This window comes from Homo sapiens, chromosome 2 (assembly GCF_000001405.40).
Source record: "Homo sapiens chromosome 2, GRCh38.p14 Primary Assembly".
Lineage (NCBI taxonomy): Eukaryota > Metazoa > Chordata > Mammalia > Primates > Hominidae > Homo > Homo sapiens.
The window spans coordinates 14,331,696-14,351,743 of record NC_000002.12 but is presented as its reverse complement, the minus strand read 5'-3'; the positions used below and the strand labels follow the sequence as shown (position 1 = coordinate 14,351,743).

Here is a 20,048-nt window from a genome sequence, read left to right as displayed (position 1 = left end):
GGGGTTATTGTGAATATTATATAATATAAAGCACCTACAAAGTGCTTTGTGAACTACAATACACATTATAATAACAGGTAATATTATTCTTATTAACATTCATTTTGGAAGGGTCAAATATTTTGAATGCCAGTGGAAACAATTTAAATCAACCTCCTGGTTTCCTTCTACCTCTGGATAATCCTTCATCTGTTAGTGACAGCTGGAGAAGTAATAGTAATCACAGTCATGTGTAAATCATGGGTTTTCAGTGTTACTTATAGATTAAAGGGTCTCTTATTTCAAGCTACCAGCAGCAGAATATGTTGTCATGATAGGTGTTTAAAATATTAATCTAGATTTTTTTCTATAAGGGCCAATTATTTGTCTAGGCACTCAAAATACAAAATTAAAACTATTGCACCTTTCCTTAAAGACCATCTAGTGTAATAAAGAAGGCATGCATATTAGTGGGTTATCTTAATACTATATGATGAATACATCAGTGAGAGTTAAGGCAGGGGTACAGTGGGAACACAGAGGCTGGCCTATAATTTTGTATAAGGAGCATTAGGGAAGGCTTCCTGGATGAGGTCTTATGTCAGGCTAGAGTGATTAGTTGGAGTTATCCAGATGAGGATGTGAAAGGAAGGGAAGGAGAATGTAATATAGGTGGGGAAATGCACAAGACATCACAAGGCACTGATTGCACAATAGATTTGTGAGCAAGAACAAGATATTTGGAATGACTGAAGCATAAAGTGGGAGGCAGCCAGTGGGAAGAAAACAGGCTGGAAACCTAGGGTAGAAAGTGAAAGTCTTTATAGGAACCTGGACTCAATCCTATGTGGCATTTAATTGAAGGGTTTAATTAGAGGAGTAGAATGGTCACATTTTTAATTTAGAAAGTTGAACATATTCTCAAACGTTATACAAAATTGTCTTGCTTCATGGCATAAACACTGCAGTCATTGATAGAATTGGCCTCAGTTTTGCTAAGTACAGTGAAAGATCACATCTCATTTCCCAGTTGCAATAATTAGTTTCTTAAACCATAAGAAAAAACAAATGAAGAAACACAGCATTTAATTGTCCCATTTAACATGAAATTTGGAGGTAGGTAGTTCAAGTACTCAACTGTCTCCTTCCCTTGAAATCACTGCCTTTAGCTGTCAGTAGTCTTCCCCTCAGGTTTACCAGATGACCGCTGTGAATCTAAGCATCAAGTTCTCACACAACAAAGTCTAAAGAAGGAATGGCATATTTTTCTCATATAACCATTTCTTTTATCACAAAGGAAAATAATTTCCAAAAGTCACCTTGTAGACTGGTTTTGTCTCTCGGGCTAGGAGATATGTTCTTACTACCAGAACAATCCCTATTAGATAAATCATGATTTATGCTGAGAATGGGGTCTGGATACAGTTCTGTTTGAATAGAGTAAGGATTCTGGGAGCAGGCAAGTAGAGGGCAACTAGATGTTAGATAAACATCAACACTCCCTACTATGCTAGATTAGTTCCAAAATAGAAATACAGCCACTTGACCCAATGGTAACATACCCCATTCTTTGTAATGGTTTTTCATTCTGATTCAAAAATACGATTTGGCCTGTATTACTCCTGGAAAGTCCCTGGGCTTCCAATGGCTCTCTGATTAGATTGCAAGGCCTGTGCTTTGGACACTCTCTAGCTCACCATGCATGCACACACCAAGGCACTCAATTGCCCCCTCTCCACAGCTCCTGCGTCTTTGTCTCTAATTTCTCTGTTTTCAGCCCCTTTCCATCAGATCTTTGAATCTCAATCTCTCTCTCTCTCTCTCTCTCATTTTCTCTCTCTCTCCCCCTCCATCTCTCAGGTTCCTGGAATCTACTCAACCAAAAAGAGTGATACATACATTTTAGTGTGAACTGTTTTGTTTTTTTTTTAATTGCTGTTTGTTTGTTTGTTTTTGAGGAGGAGTCTCGCTCTGTTGCCAGGCTGGAGTGCAGTGGCATGATCTCAGCTCACTGCAACCTCCGCCTCCTGGGTTCAAGTGATTCTCCTGCCTCAGCCTCCCGAGTAGCTGGAACTATAGATGTGCACCACCACACTCAGCTAATTTTTGTAGTTGTAGTAGAGACGGAGTTTCACCATGTTGGCCAGGATGGTCTCGATCTCTTGACCTCCTGATCCACCCGCCTTGGCCTCCCAAAGTGCTGGAATTAACAGGCATTAGCCGCCGTGCCCAGCCTTGTGAACTGTTTAATACAACTCATAATTTATGCATATTTCCAAAACCCTCTAGCAGTTCTTATTGAGATTAATCATTCCAATGATGATTCCAGGCTGTTCCTCCTTTGAATTGTTGGATCTGGGGTAGAACAAGGGGCTAACACTGAATGATAAGCCTTGGTCTTTTATAGCATCCTCCAGCAGAACAATGCTTCTCAAAGTGTGTGTTGTCTATACCAGCAGCATTACTTGGGAATGAGTGAGAAGTCTAAACTCTTGGGCCCTAAGTTAGAAACCCGGGGAATAGAGCCCATAATCTATGGTTTAATAATCCCTCCTGGATATTCTAATACACATTTATGTTTGAGGAACACAAGAATAAAAATGTCAGAAATCTGGAGTTAGGCAGTTGACTTTGGTTGAAATAATAAATCTTTCTGAGCCTCTATTATAATTTATTATTATTGATAAAATACCTACTTGATGAAGATTAAATGGACAAGTATTGTTTAAGAACTGAGCTTCACTTTCGTTACTCATTAGTAGTAGGATTTTGTGCTCATATTTTTCTCCTCATCTTTTTGAAGGTGATTTTTAATAATTTTTTTGAATCGTAACTTTTATGTTAATTTTAGCTACTCATAATCCAATTACTCGTCAGAAATGCTTTATGTTGTGCCCTTTCTTGGATAAGATCAATATATGTTAAGTACTGAAGCTTTTCTGTCTTTTCCTAGTGTTTTAACTTTGCCCTTTGTCACCCACATTTTGGCTTTTTAACACCCAAGTATTTTGTCTTTAATGTGCACTGCCTGTGCTCGAGATGGGTACAAATGATTCTCCAAGTCATTCTCTCTCTCTCTCACTCTCTCCCTTCTCTTCTTTCCCCCTTTCATCTCCTGGTTGGGATTCATACAGCTGCTATTTCATTTCCTTAAAAGTCACTTTTCTTCGGGGTAAAAAGGATGCCTACATATGCTGAGTTCCCTGGCTGTGGGCTTGTAGTTGAGAAATACCACCGTCTGTTCATATCTGCCTGAGAAACGCTCTCCACTCGGTGCCAATAGTGGCTGTAAATGGTCTCAGCTAGCAGGACTGTGTGGTTTCATTTCTGGGTGCACGACGTCACAACACAAAATGGGCATCATTTCTGGTACTGCACACATGTTTCTAAGTGATTCCCAGCTCTGACTCTTTTGAGCAGGATGATGGCTTTCGTTAGTATGGGCAATCCTGATTCTGTTACTAAACGCTTCTAGGAGGAAAGATTGAGGTATTGTTTTTCCCTGACAAAAGCCTATTCTAAGAACTGTAGCAAATAAGTGGCAGCTTTTCTGAGCACCTACTATATGTACACACTGTGCTAGGTGCTTTTAAAACATTGTCCTTTTTTTTTTTTTTGAGACGTAGTCTTGCTCTGTTGTCAGGCTGGAGTGCAGTGGCGCGATCTCGGCTCACTGCCACCTCCGCCTCCTGGGTTCAAGTGATTCTCCTTCAGCCTCCTGAGTAGCTGGGAATACAGATGCGTGCCACCACTCCCAGCTAATTTTTGTATTTTTAGTAGAGACGGGGTTTCACCATGTTGGCCAGGATGGTCTCTATCTCTTGACCTTGTGATCTGCCCGCCTCGGCCTCCCAAAGTGTTGGGATTACAGGCGTGAGCCACTGCGCCCGGTCTGTCCTGATTGTTTACAATGATCTTTCAAAAAAGTATCATAGCCTTATTTTACAGATGAGGAAACTATGGTTCTGAGGCTGTAACTGATTTTTCCAGTTACACAAGTACTGGATAGGAGTCTTTTATTACTACCTAGATGTCTGTTTCCAATGTCTTTGTGACATACTGAAAATAAAGGCAAATCATTAGAAATGTATAGTGAACTGTTACTGAAGATTTTGATAGCAATGCAATTTGGTATAGAGTAGCTTGATTATGTACATGCATCTGTCTGTGTGTGTATGTGTGTGTATGTGGGCGTGTTTTCGATACTGAACTTGCTACCAGCTAAGTATTTAGAAATAATCTTTGGATTGCTAACTTTTAGCTTACAACCCTAATACATATCAAAGAATTGTTGTATGTCTAGTTTGAGGGAAGGAGAGCATGTATGTATTCATGTTTTCACTGTTCACTGATCATTTATTAATCATCCAATAAATATTAGGGACCTACTAGTTAATACACTATGGACTAGGAATAAACTGATAACAGGGCAATTCCCGCCTTTGGGAGTCTTTGACCTTCTCCGTGTTTTAAATAAGTTTATCCATTTTACATTCAAGATTATCACGCACTGGTTATTTCAGAAGTTAAAGAAGCACCTTAGATCAGTCTTAGCTCTGCCATGTTACCTGGACGTACGTCCTTAAATACTTTACCGTTCTACATTTGTTTACTCATTTGTGAAATATAACACACAAATAACCATGCTGACAACTTCTCAAAGTCAAGATAAAATATGATGTATATGAGGGCAACTTGCAATCTCCAAAGTGTGATATAATATTAATCACAATATCGTTAATTGTGATTAATATTACTCATAATATTAATCATAATGTTAATTGTGATTAATATTACTCACAATATTTTCACAATAATTATGTAATATATTATTGATAATATTTTAGGATGAATAGTTATTTTCACTGATATTTTTAAAAGGTCATGTGACCTGTAAGAACCCATGAACTGTAAATTCAATGAAATTTGCTACTTCTTTACTCAGAAATGAGAGGCAATTGTATTTTTACTTCTAGTTCAAAATGTTTGAATGTTTAAATAACTGTCATCTGTGGTCCTGAAGATGCTCCCATGGAGGCTGATTTGGAAACATTACATAATTATGCAGAAGCAGCATATGCTGAAGAAACATGTAGACCTGCTTTTAAAACCTGCCATTTTTTTTTTTTTCTGAAAGACTCATGACAAGGAAATAAAATAGGAGAAAATAGTGACACCTAACTCACAGAATTGCTGTGATCATTCAATATAATCCTATGTAAAATGGCTGAAGAATTATAAAACATTACAAACATCTTAGATTATTTATTACAATTAGAATATTGCAGAACATAGTCATAGGAGGTGGTAATGGTAGATTTTTCAGTTTTTGACCCATAATTTCCCCTTGTTTGAAGAAAATTCAGATAACTCTTCTTTAAGTAGATTTTAAAAACCCACAATTTAAATATTTGTTTCCTTCATTTACAGGGATATTTGTTGTAGCCAAGCAAAATTCAAGATGCAACTTGTGACTTCTCATTGGATACTTCCCTTACTTCTATGAAGTAGCCATCTCGACTCATTCCCTCTGGTTCCCACTCTTCTCTCTCTAACTTTTCATCTTATTTCCAAGCCTTTATTATAGTTACCATGTACATATCTATTTTCTCACTGAAACATAACTCCTTGTATTAGTCAGGGTTCTGTTAGAGGGACAGAACTAATAGGATACATACACATACACACACACACACACACACACACACACATATATAAAGAGGAGTTTATTAAGTATTAACTTACACAGTCACAAGGTCCCACAATAGGCTGTCTGTAAGCTGAGGAGCAATGAGAGTCAGACTTAGTCCCCAGACTGAAGAACTTGGAGTGCAATATTCGAGGGCAGTAATATCAGACTCCAACTTCGATATCCAGCATGGGAGAAAGATGTAGGCTGGGAGGCTAGGCCTGTCTCATCACTTCACGATTTTTATATTCTCTGGTGGCTGATTAGATGGCACCCATCCGATTAAGGGAGGGTCTGCCTTCCCCAGCCCACTGGCACAAATGTTAATCTCCTTTGGCAACACCCTCACAGACACACCCCGGACCAATACTGCATCCTTCAATCAAGTTGACACTCACTAGTAACCATCACACTCCATGGGGATAGATAGCAACTCCTATTTATTTATTCCTGGAGAATATCACAGTTACTGGCCAATGGAAGGCACTCACTAAATATCTGTTGCCTAAATGCATGATTGTTTCTAAAAATGCCAAGGAATTTCTTATTATACAAATAAAATTGTACTGGGATTTTAAAAAATAGTTTATTTCTAACTATACATAAATAATGACTCATAAAATTGATTTAAACATATAAGGATTTCATGGTAAAGTTATGTATAGGTACTTAATATGATCTCAAGAAATATTTTCTATACTTTCATATAAAAATCAGTAGAAAATGTTTTAGAGTAGAACATTTCAGTATTTATACTTCATAAAATACATTTCTATAAATAATTAAAAGATTACTTTTTGAGTGAAGTGTAATTTTAAGCAAAAGTATATTATAGTCAATTTTGTTTTGTTTTCTATATCTTAGTAAGATCATTGCTAAGGTTATCAATTAATTTAGAAAATCACATCTGTGCTCAAGAGAGCTGGGATTGTTTTCTTGTTGAAACAGGGAAGCACTACACAGTATATAAAAATGAGTGTTAATTATCTACAAACACCAGGGGGTAGAGAATTAGCTGAATGCTCATACCTGTGTAGGCATTGTAAATATGTATTTCATACCATGGTACTATTTCTAACCAATATAAGTATTTGACAATTTTTATATTGACTTTAGAGCAGAAAATGTATCACTGTGGTAAACACTTTAGTAGAGGGGAAAAGAAGGGGTGTGAGCAGTGTGAATCCACGGTAGTGACACACTTTGGGTCTTTTCCATTTTTCCTAAAGTAGGTTTGATTTTGGATTTTATAGAAGAGAATATAAGAAAAACAATTCAGAATGTGATATACATGTTTCTGAAGAAAGAGAGCAGTAGGCTCAGTGAGATGTGAAAAGAGAAGGGATCAAAGGACTAGGCTGAGGGAGAGATTTTCAAGTACCGCAAAACATGAAATTTGTGTGATAGAACTATTCTACGTCTTGACTACGGTGGTGATCGTACTAATCTACACATGTGACAAAATTACATAGAACTAATCACCTCCCCCAACACACATACACAAATGCACATAAAACTGGTGAAACCTGAAAGGTTGGTGAATTGTATCAACGTGAATTTCCTGACTGTGATATTATACTATAGTTATGCAAGATGTTTTCTCTTGGAGAAATTAGAAACCACTGAGTGTACAGAATCTCTAGGATTTTTTTAAAACTGTATGTTTCTATCCATCTATCCACCCATCAATCCATTTATCCACTCATTATTTCTTATTTTCTTTTTCCTTTTATACTAGCTTTTCTGAGGTATAACTGATAATTGACAAACAAGAATTGTATATATTTAAGGTATACGGCTTTATATTTTGATGTATACATTCCCTATAAAATGATCACCACAATTATATTAATTAACATATCCATCACCTCACACAATTACCAATTTGTGTGGGGAGGGAGAAAGGAGAACACTTATTATAATCTCTCAGCAAATTTCAAGTATAAAATACAATATTTTTAACTATGGTCACCATGCTGTACATTCTGTCTCCAGAACTTATTAATCTTAAATAACGGAAACTTTATTCCCTTGATGAACATCTTCCATTTCCCCCATCTCCTGCCCTGGCAATCCCCATTCTGCTCTCTGCTTCTATGAGTTTGACTTCTATGAATTTTAGACTTCACATAAGTGACATCATACAGCATTTGTCTTTCTGTGTCTGGGCTACCTAGCACAGTGTCTTCTAGGTTTATCCATGTTGTTACAAATGACAGGATTTTTTTAAAGATAAAATTTATATACACACACATATATATAGACACACCTTTACATACATATATATACACACATATGTATATACATACACACGTATACATTTATATATATAAAATAAAGTCACACAGATATACATACACACATACACATATATACACACACATATACACATACACGTGTGTGTGTGTGTGTGTGTATATATATATATATATATATATAGTTAAAGAAACTGTGATATATTATCAGCTTCTTTATTTATCCACTGACAGATATTTAGGTTGTTTCCATATCTTAACTATGAACAATGCTGCAATGAAGATGGATGTGAAGGTATCTCTTCAAGATAGAGATTTCATTTGCTTTCTGTATATGCTCAGAACTAGAATTACTAGAAAATAGTAGTTCTATCTAAATTTTTAAAGGAATTTTCATACTGTGTCTTATAAGGGCTGCACCAACTTACATTCCTACTAACAGTGTAAAAATATCCCTTTTTCTCCACATTCTTGCCAACACTTACTTACCATTTGTGTTTTTAGTAATAGCCATTCTAAGAAGCGTATGAGGTGATATCTGACTGTGGTTTTGATTTACATTCCCTGTTGATTAGTGATATTGAACACCCATTTTATATACTCATTGGCCATTTATATATCTTCCTTGGGGAAATGTCTATTTAGGTCCTTTGCCCATTTTAAAATTGTTATTTGTGTTTTTGCTATTGAGTTGTATGAGTTCACTATGTATTTTGAATATTAACTCCTATCAGATATAGGGCTTGTAAATATTTTCTCCCATTCCATAAGTTGTGTTTTCACTCTGTTGTTTCCTTTGCTGTGCAGAAGATTTTAAGTTTAATGCAATTCCACTTTTCTATTTTTTGCTTTTGTTTCATGTACTTTTGTTGTCATATCCCAAAAATCTGTTTCCAAGTCCCAATACCTAAAAGCTTTATCTTTTATGTTTCTATTTGTTGTACAGTTTCAGGTATTATTTTTAAGCCTTAATATATGTTGTGCTGATTTTTTAATATGGTGTGATAGAGTGGTTGCCTCTTATTTACAGAGTGTAAGTTTCAAGATCCCGGTGGATGCCTGAAACTGTCATGTGATCCTTGAGGTGTCACTTTTCCATCCTTCCATCCAGAAATTTTTGTGGCTGGTGGTAACTTGGCCTGAGTTTTGCTCAGGCCCACTGGGCTCATTCCACCCCTTTGGCCTGACAGGCTGTGCTCCGTTCACGCTACTGGCCTGGATCTCATGCCTGCTAAGGGTGAGCCAGGCATGGAGTGGTGAGGGGTGTGTGAGCAGGCAAACATGGGGTCTGGCCACTGCACACAGCTAGGGACACTGGCTGTGGCAGTGCAGGCAGCTCCATGCACCAAGATAGGTGCTGGCTCCCTGTGACGCTGTGGCTGAACCAGGCATACCACAAGCTTCTTCCACTGCTGGCACCAGGGCACAGAGTGGTGCTCAGAAGCTTGGAGATGCCAGGAACTGCAGAACCCCAAAGATGGTGTCAGAACCCTGGCTTGGGGAGCTCCTTGGTCTGGGATCCCCAGGGGGCTGCAGTTCTTCTCTCCTTCTCTCTTCTCTCCTTCTCATTGCCTGCAATGTGGCAAGCAAGGGGTGTATTTCAGCCCCTGCTCTTTTAGCCCTGCCGTTTGGTGAGTCCTGAGTTCTTGTTCCATGCCCAGACACAATTAGGTACATGGACAACTGAAGGGTAAGCACGGCAAAGAGGTGCCTTATTAAACAGCTCAGAGGAGACCCGCAATGGGCAACTCCTTTCCACAGGCAGGTTGTCCTTTCATCTGCCCAGCTGTTAGCAGAGCGGAGACTGACATTAGGTAGATCCTCTCTGTTGGCGGGTAGTCCTGTCATCTGCCCAGCTCTCAGCAGGCAGGAGACCTGCAGTGGGTATCTCCTCTCCACAAGCAGGTTGTCCCATTGTCTGCTTGAGCCTGGCTAAGTCTGTGGTTTTTATGGGCTTCAGAGAGGAGAAACTGTGTGCTGATTTGTCCATGGGCAGCCATGGCAGGCCTGGAAAAAGCCTGTGGGTTCTCACTCCGGTGCATGGAACTGGGAGTCTCAGGCTGTCCCTGCCCTGAAAGTGGGGTTTCACCAGGAACCCATCTCTTTTTGCCCAGGAGCCTGTCTTCCTCTTGCCACCATTAACCTGCCATCCACAGTGGCTACAGTGTCCAGGCTGTTTGTGATGAGGGGTGGCTTCAGGCCCATGCCAAGCCACCCTCAGCATCCCCTTGACCTCCCTCCTGTGTTGGTCAGCACCCAAAGTCTGGAGGGGGCCAAAGCAGCAGAGGCTGATGTGTCAGTGCTTCCCCAAGCATGCACACACCTGGCCGAGTTGTCACAGCATCTGGACTTGGTCTCAACTTTGCTCCAAAATTTGTGTGGGCACTGGGATTGGCCAGGCAGTGGGAGCAGGCACTTCCAAGCCTGTGGGGGTAGGGGGGCTTCCTGGGCCCCCAAGAGCACAGGGATGCCCAGGTCTGCAGCTGTGGCTCAGTGGCTACATCCGTGCCCAGGAGGGCAAGGCTTCTGCCCTGCCAACTCATAAGGGGGTGGGGCTTTCACCTGTTCCCAGCTCCTGTGGGCTTTGTGGAGCACACAGCCCCTGCCATACATCCCCCACTGCAGCTGGCATCATGGCAGCAGTTGCTCCAGATAGACTGCTGCTGCCACCAAAACCCTAGATAGTACCAGATCCTATGCATACTATGTTTTTTCTATACATACACACCTATAATAAACTTTCACTTTTTCAAGCAATTTCCAGCTTCTCTTTGGCACATCCCAATTGCCAGCATCACTACCCTTGTACTTTGAAGGCATTATTAAGTAAAATAAGGGTTACTTGAAGATAAAAAACTGTGATACTGTGAAATTCGATCTGATAAGATGGCTACGTGACAAATGAGCGAGTAGTGTATACAGTGTGGATCTGCAGGACAAAGGGATGATTCATATTCTGGGTGACAGATGCTTTTGTTGAGTGGGATGGCATGAGATTTAATCATCTTACTCAGTATGGTAAACAATTTGAAATTTATAAATTGTTCATTTCTGGAATTTTTTATTTAATATTTTCAGGCCATAGTTGACTGTGGATAACTAAAACTGTGGAAAGCAAAATGTTGAATAAGTGGGAACTACTGCATAAGGGTCCAGTTTTATTCTTCTGCATATAGATATCCAATTTTCCCAAAGCTGTTTACTGAAGAGACCATTCCTTTCCATTGTGTGTTCTTGATACTCTTCTCAAAGATCGGTTGACCATAAATAAGTAGACTTATTTCTGGGCTCTGTGTTTTGTTCCATTGGTCTGTATGTCTGTTTTTATGCCAGTATTATGTATTTTTTTCATTACTGTAGAATTGTAATATATTTTTAAGTCAGGAAGTGTGATGCCTCTAGTTTTGTTCTTGCTCAAAATTGCTTTGTTTATTTGAGATCTTTTGCAGTTCCATATTAATTTTAGCATCTGTTTTTCTATATCTGTAGGGAATGTCACGGGATGTTTATGAATAATTTGTTTAATCTGTAGATCACTTTGCATAGTATAGACATATTAACAATATTAATTCTTTCAATGCATGAACGTGGTATCTTTTCATCTGTGTCTTCTTTAATTTCCTTCACTAATATTTATAAATTTCAGTGTATAAATCTTTAGCCTTTTTGGTTAAGTTCATTTCTAAGCATTTTATTCTTTTTGTTGCTATTGCAGATGGAATTTTAAAGTTTTCTGTTTAAAATAGTTGACTGCTATTGTATAGAAATGACACTAATTTTGGTATGCTGATTTCGTATTTGCAAATTTACTGAATTCAATGATAAGTTCTAACAGGCTTTTTGCTGCTATTGATTCCTTACGGTTTTCTACATATAGAAAACCATATGGTTTGTCATGTCCTCTACATATATATTATATATATATATTTTATATATATATGTCCTTTACATATATATAATTTTGTTCTCTACATATATATAATTTATGTCCTCTACATATATATAATTTATGTCCTCTGCATATGTTTAATTATATATATATATGTCCTCTACATATATATAATTTTGATTTTTTCTTTTGTATTTGGGTACCTTTTATTTCTTTTTCTTGTCTGATTGCTCTGGCTAAGACTTGTAATATTCTGTTGAATAGAAGTGGCAAGAGCAGAAATCCTTTTTTTTTTTTTTTTTTGAGATGGAGTCTCACTCTGTCACCCAGGCTGGAGTGCAGTGGCATGAGCTCAGCTCACTGCAAGCTCCGCCTCCTGGGTTCACGCCATTCTCCTGCCTCAGCCTCCCGAGTAGCTGGGACTACAGGTGCCAGCCACTACACCTGGCTAATTTTTTGTATTTTTAGTGGAGATGGGGTTTCACCATGTTAGCCAGGATGGTCTCCATCTCCTGACCTCGTGATCCACCCACCTCGGCCTCCCAAAGTGCTGGGGTTACAGGTGTGAGCCACCGTGCCCGGCCGAAATCCTTGTTTTCTACTGGGTCCTTGAGAAAAAGTTTTCAGGCTTCTTTGTCTATTAATTATTATGTTAGTATTGAGGTAAGTTTTTTATACCTATTTTGTTAAATATTATTTATCATTAATGGATGTTGAGTTTAAAAAATATTTTTCTGTATCTATTGAGGTATATATGTGTTTTTTGCTTTTAATCTGTGAATGTGATATATCACATTAACTGATTTATATATGCTGAACCACTGTTGCAACCCAGGGATAAATTTCTCTTGATCACGGCATATAAATCTTTTAATGTGCTGTTGAATTTTGTTTGCCAGTACTTTACTGAGGATATTTGCATCATTGTTCATTAGGGATTTGGGTGGTAGTTTTCTTTTCTTATAATATTTTTGCCTAGCTTTGGAATCAGAGTGTTGCTGGCCTCATAAAATAAGTTTGGAAGTTTTCCCTCTACATCTGTTTTCTTGGAAGAGTTAAAGAAGGATTGGTATTAAATCTTTTATGAATGGTTGTTTGAATTCACCCATGAAGCCATCTGGTCCTGGGCCTTTTTGTTGAAAGTTTTGGATTATTGATTCAAGCTCTTTATTTATTAATTACCTGTTTAGTATTTTTATTTCTTCTTGATTCAGTCTTTGTAGGTTACATTTCTAGGTATTTACCAATTTATTCTAGCTTATTAAATTTTTGGCATATAATTATTCATAATAGTCTCTTGTAATTCAAAGGGACTACACAACAGAGAACAGTTAACAAGATGGCAATGGTAAATCTTTTCCTATCAACAGTTACCTTAAATGAAAATAAATTAAACTTTTGAATAAAGAGGTATAGAGTAGTTGAGTGGATAAAAATACTAAGATTCAGCTATATGCTGTCTAAAAGAGACTCACTTCAGCTTTAAGGACACAGGCTGAAAGTGAAGAGATTGAGAAAATGATATTCCATGTAAATGGTAACCAAAAAAAAAAAAACCCGAAAAACACAAAACAACAAAAAAGCAGGAATGTCTCTACTTATACCAGACAAAATTGATTTTAAGCCTTGACTATTGTTTATAGAGAAAAGGAAGGCCATTAAAAATTAATAAAATTTTACTTCAACAAAAAGATACAATTATAAATATATATATATATATACACCCAACATCAGAGCAGCAAAATATGTAAAGTAAATATTGACTGATCTGAAGACAGAAGTTGACAGCAATGCAATAATAGTAGGAATCTTACATATCCCATTTTCAATAATTGATAGAACATACAGATATAAAGTCAACAAATAAATGGCAGACTTGAACAACATTATAGACTAAATTGGCATAACATATATATATATGGAACTTTCTCCCCAATAACAAAAGGATACACATTCTTTTCAAACTCAAATGGAACATTCTCCAGAATAGATTACATGTTAGTCTACATAAAGAATCTTAACAAATTGAAGAAGATTAATCAAGCCAAGTATCTCTTCCAAGGACAATGAAATGAAACTAGAAATCAGTGACAGCCGCCCCCTGCAAAAAAAAGGAAAATTCACAAGCACATGGAAACTAATCAACACACTGTTCAACAACAATTAGGTCAAAAAAGAAATCAAAAAGGAATTTTGACAATCTTGAGAGAAATGAAAGTAAAACAAAACACAATATACTAAAACTTAAGGGAAACATTGCAAAAGCAGTATTAAGTAGTATGAAGGAAGTTTATAGAAAAAATGCCTGCATTGACAAAAGAAAAACATGCTAAATAAACAATATATACCTTAAGAAATGAGAAAAAGAAGGACAAACTAAGCCCAAGATTAACAAAAGGGAGGAAATTATAAAGATAAGAGCATAAATAAATACAGAATAGAAAACCAATATAAAAAATCAACAAAACGAAGGGTTGGTTTTTAAATAAGATAAACAAAATTGTCAAACTCTTAGCTAGACCAGGAAGAAAAGAGAAAAAACTCAAATAAATAGAATAATAAATCAAAGAGGAGATAGTACAACAAATGCTTTAGAAATAAAAGAATAATTATTTTCTAAGCAGTATGCTTTTCCAGAAAATGAACAGGCTAACAGGCCTAATACTATACCTGCTGGACAGGGAGGGAAACGTGTAACTCATACACACAGTGAAGCATAACTGATAGAGAGATGGAAGTGTAAAGTAACAGAGTGTGCTCTAAAGGGAGTGCTTAGTATTTCCTGGAGAAGGCTAACATTAGGAAAACTCTCTTGAGAAAAATAAGTCTTGAAGTATTTATGTTTCTAGGAAGATTACCCACCGCACCATCAATCATACCTCAGAGAAATAGGCTGTCCAGAGAGAGCATTAAAAGTAAAAGCAGAGACATGGAATGTGCAAATGATGTGTCACAGAAACTGTTTTATTTGCTATTGTTGGGGAAGAGGAGGTGAGTGAACATGCAAGCAAGAGATGAGGTCAGACAGTAAGTAGGGGGCAACTATGGAGGGCATTGCATTGCCTGGTTAAGAAGTACATATTACAACTTCTAAATATGTATTAGTCATGGTTCTCTAGAGGGACAGAACTAATAGTATATACAAATATATTATATATATATACACTATTATATATAAGTATGTATATATATTATATATATAATAGTATATATATTTTTATGTGTATATATATATATATATATATACACATATATGTAAAGGGAGTTTATTAAGAAGAATTGACTCACACAATCACAAGGTAAAGTCTCACAATATGTCATCTGCAAGTTGAGGAGCAAGGAAAGCAGTACTGGATCAGTCTGAGTCCCAAAACCTCAAACGTAGGGAACCCAACAGTTCAGCCTGCAGTCTGTGGCCAAAGACCCAAAAGCCCCTGGCAAACCGCTGGGGTAGGTCCAAAAGATGAAGGCCAGAAGACTCAGCAAGTCTGGTCTTCTATCTGCTCCTGCCTGCTTTATTCTAGCTGTGCAGGCAGCTGATTAGATGGTGCCCTCCCAGATTGAGGTCGCGTCTGCTTCTGCCAGGCCACTGAGGCAAATGTTAATCTCTTTTGGCAACACCCTCACAGACACACCCAGGCACGATACTTTGCATCCTTCAATCCAATCAAGTTGACAATCAATATTAACCATTACCAAATATGATAAGTAGATTTTTTCAGAATGGTCAAACTTATTCTATGGAATTCAAGGAATATCTTGGGGCTTTCATGGGAGAAGGATAGGATAGCACATGAAACTGAGGTCAACACAAATACATTTGATTTCAAAGTTAAGGAAGGTTATTATCTGAAGGGGCACAGAGTCGCACATAGAGAGACACCTGCTGAACTGCTATCATGCACGGCCTTAGCTGCTTCAGGCTACGTAAGCTGGGAAGCTTGAAAATAAAAGATCAGTAATTTCCTAGTTACAGATCATAATTTTTCTCAGTCACGTTGTCATTATCCAGTCTATTCAATATTACGATACTTGAAATGTCTTCATTTTCTTTTTCATCTTCATGCCTCACAATCAGTAAGTTGCAAAGCTTTGCCATTTGGACCAGAAATAAGCCCATTCCTGCTTTTCCACTGTGAGTGTCAATGCCATATTTTAGGCCCTGTCTTCTCTTGCCTGAAATTTCTGAATAGTTTTCTGGTAGGTTTTTTCTGTCTCTAGTTTTGTATTACTCTAGAATATCATATATGTGATGGCCAAAATGATCTGTCTAAAATATGGATGGAATTATGTCACTAATTTATTCTAATGTTTGATTGGTTCTTTAATGTCTGTAATATCATTTTTATTGCACTAGCTCCACGAAGTAGGGAAGATGCTGTGGAAACAGTACGACACTTTGACTTCAAAAGACAAAGATTGAAATCTTAGTTTTATCAACTACTAGCTGCAATTCCTTCCTGTGGTCCAGGCAGACCTAGACCATGCCTGCTATAGGCCCAATAACACAGAAACAAATGGAGCGCAGAGTTATGTAATCCCTATGTGATGAGAAATTCATAAGCGACCTTTAGCGCTGATGTGACACCTTCCCTAGCCTATGTTATAAAACACAGGATCTATGACCTCAGGCCCTCTAACCATATGGACTCACTCTCTGCAAGCATTATATTGATCAATGAAGTTCAAATGCTTCACTACAAATAAGAGGGAGTCTTCTCTCTGTTATGTGTAATGTTTGCACCATTTATTTGCTAGTTCTACAGGAAACAGCATGAAAGCCACCTTGAACTGAGGCTTAGAACTCACTTTGGCCAGTCTTTAGCCCACTTCAGACTGTGTGGTCTGGCCTAGTTCACATGATCAAGCTATTTAAACCTCTCAGCTTCCCAGTTTCCTCCTAATTAAAATTTGAGTTGTTAATGCTTACTGAGTAGAATTATTAAATTATACCATCTTGACACCTTTTCTGGACATGGTAATTTAAAAAAGGTGCAATTTTATCCTGCAGTTGAGCTCCAATCCATTTAATTCACCTTACTTCCCTCCATTTTGAGTATATCATCAGCTGAAGCCATATTTGCTCAGCAGTCCTGATCAGGTCCTGTGTTCCTTTCCCTCCAGGCCTTTGCTCAAGCTCTCTCTGTACACACTCTTAATCTCCAGTCTGGCACTCCCTAGTACCATGGTCACCTGGCACAGCACTACCTATCTTTCAAACACAGGCTCAAGTCCCAGTTTTCTAGATTTCATCTTCTTGCTGATTTGCCTTGCACATCAATTTTAGTTCTCATCTTACCACAGTCACATTGGTGGTTGTCCCCCTCTGATATATAAGAACATTCCAAGGCCAGCAATATTCACTGCAACGTTATGTGGTTTTCCAATAAACAAAATATCCCCAAATCTATGTAAATAAAAGCACAAAATGTGGTGATTTAACTTTTATTTCTAAAAAAGGGAAATGATGGAAGTAAATATGGTGTTTACATGCCATGGGATATTGTGCAGCTATTAAATCTAATAAATTAGATCTATTTCTGTTTTACAAAGAGGTCAATTCTACACATCCACACATCAATAATAGCAATTATATGTGCACATATATATATGGTTTTTTATTCATGTATGAGAATGATACAATTTTATTAAATGTTAGTAATTTCCAAGGGAAGTCATTAGCATATTGCACAGCTTTCTGCTATCCTTTTAGTTTCTCTAATCCTTTTTTTTGCCTCTGGTTTTCTCTTTCTTTGCCAGTATCTATTTCATGAAAAGACATTTTTATAAAACCTGTGTCTTTGAGGTCTCTTCTATCTCTTTATTTTCCCTCTGTTTAAGAAATAATTTAAATCCAAAAACAAGCTACAATAATAGTGTGATGTACACTCATACACCACTCATTCAGATGCATCTATTGTAACATTTTGCCACAACAAAAATGTATTATTAACTTAAAAAAGCACATTGGACAATCATGTACAATATGATCCCATTTTGGTAAAAATATTCAGTCAAAACCAAAACTCTACATAAGGCATATATTTCTGTGTAAGCTTGTGTGATTAAGGAAACATTATGGAAGGCTATTTAAGAGCGTATTTAATTGGTTACCTCTGTGGGCAGGGAATGGATGAAAGCAGGGAGAGATGGTTAACTTTTGCTTCTACAAAAGAATGTTTTAGTTGTTACAATCAATGCATATTCATTTTTTGTTGTAAAGAAAATAAAACAGAAAACAAGCAGGAATGTTCTTTTTCACAGATGGTCTAAACATTACCAGCCCTCTGGATGAATGAATTTTTTCTCATACAGAGAAGACAGAGACTGTAGGCTAGGCCTGAGGTCCTGATTATCAGGGAGGCCTCAGCCCTAGAAATCGGTCTCAGATTTTTCCTCTGTCCTCCAGGTAATCCTAATGTGTACATCTACACAGTTACTTTCCTGCTGTCAGGTGAGGCTGTTTCTATGGATAAGCCAGGAAATTTTTGCCTTTTCAGGTGGTAGGATTATAATGTGCTTATTTTCTCTGTGTTTTAGAGAAAAGAGTGCAAATAAAATGCCAGTTTCTTAGATGTAAATAACACAATGGCTTTGCCCATGGTGTGAAAATAAAGGGTTAAATGAATGAACATTTTAATTGATAGAGTGTTGTATTGACCTGACCCATAGTGTCACTAAAGCAGGATTATCACAGAGTACAGCAAAGGACACCAAAATGAGAGTTAGGATTGTGTTCTGGTTTCAGTTTGTGGGATACTGACCAATAAAATCCTCAAGAGCTATTTCCTTCACTGTAAAATGAGCTCAATAGAACCATTTTGAAGGCATCTTGAGATTGAATAAGATTACACACATCAGTGCTCCACTGAGTCATAATTGGAACCTGAGGAAAATAGAAAAATCAGTAATACTGATCTTATTTTTATTTAAAATTATATTTTGTTTACCACACATCTTTTCATTAATTTAGATTTGATTTTTTTTTTTTTTTTTTGAGATGGAGTTTTGCTCTTGTTGCCCATGCTGGAGTGCAATGGTGCAATCTCGGCTCACTGCAACCTCCGCCTCCCAGGTTCAAGTGATTCTCCTGCCTCAGCCTCCCGAGTAGCTGGGATTACAGGCACCGGCCACCATGCCTGGCTAATTTTTGTATTTTTAGTAGAGATGGGGTTTTACCATGTCAGCCAGGCTGGTCTCAAACTCCTGACTTCATGATTTACCCGCCTCAGCCTCCCAAACTGCTGGGATTACAGGTGTGAGCCACCAAGCCTGGCCTTGATTTGATTTTTTAAAAATATTGCACTAAACTATGATTTGTTGTGATTACTGAGTTTTTTGGCACCCCCTTAAATTTTGAGCTTAAAGCAAGTGTCTCATTTGCTTTTCCCTAGTCTTGTCCCCCAAATAAATACAATTATTTGCCATGAATCTTGACTCGGTAAATGTTAGTTTACTTCCCCCTCCACATACAAACTGCATAGGTGCATACACATTCACTCATGACTGTTGTCAGAATTCATAAAGTAGGTCAGGCCTGTATATAAAAGAGTGACCCAGAAGAAATTGGGTTAATTTAGTTTAGTTCAAAACGAAGTACACCTGTTCCACCCCAACACAATTAGAAAACCCTTAGGAAAGTAGGATTGAAGGTATCTACTCTCTACCTGTGTTTTTTCCATAGAGACTGAGAATGATAACATATTGAATTCATGAACAGAGAGAAGAAGAATGGTTACCAGACACTGGGAAGGGTGGTGGGGTTTGGGAGGAAGGTGGAGATGGTTAATGGGTACAAAAAAATAGAAAGAATGAATAACACCTTCTATCTGATAGCACAACAGGCTGACTATAGTCAAGAATAACCTAACTGTACATTTTTAAATAACTTAAAGAGTGTAATTCCATTGTATGCAACTCAATAGATAAATATTTGAGGGTATAGGTACCCCGTTCTCTATGATGTGCTTGTTTCACATTGCATGCCCATATTAAAATATATATGGGATGTAGTAATATCCCATATTAATATATCCCATTATGGGATATATTAAAGTATCCCATAAATATATATATACATACGTACTATGTACCCACAATTTTTTTAATTAAAAAACAACAAACAAAAGAATTGAGAATGATACCCCAGCTACCTTACAGCTTTTTAACTCCAGAATCTCTAGGTCTAAGCTGTATTTATCAAGTAAATTGTCAAATCCCTAGATATTACTTATTT

General features: G+C 37.4%; 1 long non-coding RNA gene across 1 annotated transcript in view, besides 1 other annotated feature; it reads left to right on the top strand.

Annotated features, from left to right (window-relative positions):
* LINC00276 (long intergenic non-protein coding RNA 276) overlaps positions 1–20,048 on the top strand; it is a 172,085-nt gene that overhangs the window by 49,215 nt on the left and 102,822 nt on the right. The gene's annotated exons all lie outside the window — the stretch shown is intronic.
* Positions 18,755–18,954: a silencer, noted in NCBI's record as "fragment chr2:14472914-14473113 (GRCh37/hg19 assembly coordinates)". NCBI's record gives its function as "represses an EF-1alpha promoter that drives an FKBP-Casp9 reporter gene in an ReSE screen in K562 erythroleukemia cells {active_cell/tissue: K562}" and the evidence as "EXISTENCE:reporter gene assay evidence [ECO:0000049][PMID:32094911]".